Source organism: Homo sapiens, chromosome 15 (genome assembly GCF_000001405.40).
Source record: "Homo sapiens chromosome 15, GRCh38.p14 Primary Assembly".
NCBI lineage: Eukaryota > Metazoa > Chordata > Mammalia > Primates > Hominidae > Homo > Homo sapiens.
In genome coordinates, this window is record NC_000015.10 from 38,817,900 (window position 1) to 38,821,133 (window position 3,234).

The window sequence follows — 3,234 nt, forward strand, 5'->3', positions numbered from 1 at the left end:
CAGTGAAAGCCCACAGGTACAGCCGGCCAGAATGGTTCGAAAGAGTGAATCTACCAGGTTTGTGAGTGGACCAGGGACCCAGGTGTGAGGTGTGCAAAGAAGAGTAAGCACTTTCCATGGGCACGCCCAGGAAGCCACCACAGATCCTCTCACTTTCTCCACGCCCCCCTGGGTGTTAAGAACAGAAAGTGCACTTGGTAACTTGGAAAAACCCTCTCTCTGCATTGAGGCACAGTCATTTCCAAAAAGTCCCCAGAGCCTGTGCTCAGAGAATCGGGTGGTGTGCTGAGACTTCTTTGGATCTGCTTCTGCAACCCAAGCATGGTGCATAAAACTTTATCCAAAGAAAAAAAGGCAAAATGAAAAACAATTGGTGAAGAGGAATAATGGCATAGGTAACTCAGAAGAGTAGTGTCACTTCCATTTGATTTTAAAGATATATACACACAGGCACACAGGGCATCTGCCTGCCTGCTGTGTTCCCAAGTCTCCTTCTGAGGAATGCTGCTCTGGTGCATGGCGTTTCCTTGTGCTGTGTCTGGTAATTTGCTGGCTCCGCTGCCACCCAACAGGCCGGGCATTGGTGGCTCAGCTGCAGGCAGCCTCTACGGGCTCCGTGGAGGTGGCCCCTGCCTGTGAAGTGGGCAAGTCTAACAGCACCTCCCAATCGGGATGCCGCAGATTAAATGGGACAACCAATCAGATTAGACCCCCTCTCAGGGACGGTGCTGGGATGAGATTTACCAGTCAGGCAGTAGGCAGTTGCTGCAGTCTCCTGAATGAATAAAGCCTGCTTTTATCCCAGTCTTAGAGGTTGTTGGGCCCTGCAGTCCCCTGGTCTGCTGAAAAGGCTTTCTTTGTGTTCTTGCTTCCCATCTAACTGTACAGCATCTTTCCATCGCCTCAGTGACCCAAGTACCTCTCTCCTGTTCAACCTGTCAGTGTACAATAAACACCCCGAGATTCCCCTTTCCTGCCACCCCCACTCCCTGGCAGAGGAGGTTTTGAATTGTTTTAATTTTGCATCCCCTTGAAGAAAGAGTTCAGCTCAAAAAATCTAGGTAGCTGGACCCCTAGAAATCACAATTGTGCTGTGTTGAAAAGATGCAACAGACATGAGCCCTGAGGTGAAGGAAGAATTACTGCACTTTTCATGTGGCTCCACATTTCGGCTAAGTTTGAGACAACTTTTCTTTTGCTGGTTTTCTGTATCTCTCTGCTTTCTTTGCGCACCCCATGCTCAGGGTTGTTTGTTTTGTGTCGGTGGTATGTCTTCAATCCGACTTCATTCTGACATCCTTTAGATTAGGAATTACGATTTATCCAGGATTGGTTTTATTATTACAGTGAAGGCCCACTAGGTTCAGTCAACTGAAAACTGGTGGCATTCTTCCCAGCAAAAGAGAAGGTTAGCCTGGATGTCTTTCTGTGAAAGACAAGGGGTTTTTAACTCTGAGATTGAACCAAGATGTTGATAGATTGGAAGATGGAGGTGGAAAGATGGAATGCAGCCAGGGGTGGATATCCTTAACGTAGTCCCGGCTTTGAAAATGCAGTGCTTTCTTTGGGATTATTTCAGATGTCAAACGCAGCAGGGTTGACATCAGTACACAGCAGGCCATGGATTATGGCTGCCTCTAATGACTGTGTTCCACTGTGTTTATTGTTCTGGATGTTAATATATAGAGTAAATGATAGTCCTTTAATTGAAGGTTGGAAATGCCCCATGCCAAGGCGCCCGGGTGGACACATCATTAACCACTGAAGTGAAACCCAAGACACTTGCTGGCCAGGAAATTATAGCCACGGAGACCATCTTCCTATTTGTGTATATGGTATGTGTGAGAGAGAGCGGGCCCAGCAACTGGCCTGCACCTTATTGGCAGTTCTTGATTTTACTGGGAGGAGAAAAACATCATTTAGAAACTAGCAAGAGCACATTAGTTCCACAGGAAATCTCAGCTAATCAGAACTTGAATGGAGCATATTTCTACCCAGCGTATGAGCACAGGAGAGGAGAGAGGGGTCAGCTCTCTGCCTTTCTTTTTAGACGTTTTTGAAGTGGCTCTTCAAAAACTTTCTCCAGTTTAATTGTAGAAACAATTTATGATGCCTCAGTAATAGAGGTTGAATTTAAAAATTCCTTATAATTATTCAGACTGTAACTCCTGAGAGAAGTCTTGACAAAGTATCAGACCATAAATTGGCCCTAATTGTTTCTATGGAAAGGTATAATCATTCCCTGTTGCTTCTATAACAAATTACCCCAAGCTCAGTGGCTCAAAAGGACACAGATTTATTACCTTATAGCTCTGGAGGTCAGGAGTCTGAAATGGGTCTCACTGGGCTAAAACTAAACATTCTTTTTGGAGGGTGCAGGGGAAAATCTGTTTCTTTACCTTTTCCAGCTTCTAGAGGCCACCCGCACCCTATGGCTTTGGGCCCCAGCCCCCCAGCAATTGGATCACTCTGATCTCTGCTTCTGCTTTCACACTTCCTTCCCTGACCCTCCTGCCTCCCTCTTTCAGTGACAAAGACCCCTGTGATTGCACGGGCCCATTGGATAATGCCGCATAGTCTCCCCATCTCTAGGCCAGCTAATGAACAACCTTAGTTCCATCTGCAGTCTCCATTCCCGCATGCCATATAACATATATTCACAGGTTCTGGGAATGAAGACATGGACATCTTTGGGGTGGGGGCATAATTCTGTCTGCTGCATGAAGTACTAGGTTAGCTAGGTTCCATGGAACTATAAACCAGGCTAGAAGATAAGGACTATTGATGGGGAGGTACAATAATGATAAAAGGCAGCTTCATATGTCCTAAGATCAAAAGAATCACAGAAATCAGGGGCATGATAGCTTACTTAAGAACACATGCTTTGGGCTTGGGCAGAAGAGGGCTGACTCCTAACTCTGTCCCTGCTGGCTGTGGGATTTTTGATAGAATATTCAATCGTGCTAATAGTTTCCTTTATTATAAAATGGAGGTAATAATGTGTACCACATGGGATGTTGTAAAATTTAAGTATGAAAATACAAATGAAATGTGCATGGTGGTGCCTGGCACTTAGTGAGTGTTCAGTAAGTGGTAGCTATCAATGGTAAAAACCACAATTACTTTTGCATCAACCTAATACATGTTAGGAAGCGTCCCTTCTTTTACCTGACTCCTTGTGAGTCATGGCAGGGATGGTGAGGGTCTGTGCTTTTTAAAAATCAAAACAAATAC

The 3,234-nt window shown here is 45.3% G+C and overlaps 1 annotated feature.

Annotated features, from left to right (window-relative positions):
- Positions 207–356: an enhancer, noted in NCBI's record as "active region_9215". NCBI's record gives its function as "activates an Ori minimal core promoter by ATAC-STARR-seq in GM12878 lymphoblastoid cells {active_cell/tissue: GM12878}" and the evidence as "EXISTENCE:reporter gene assay evidence [ECO:0000049][PMID:35858748]".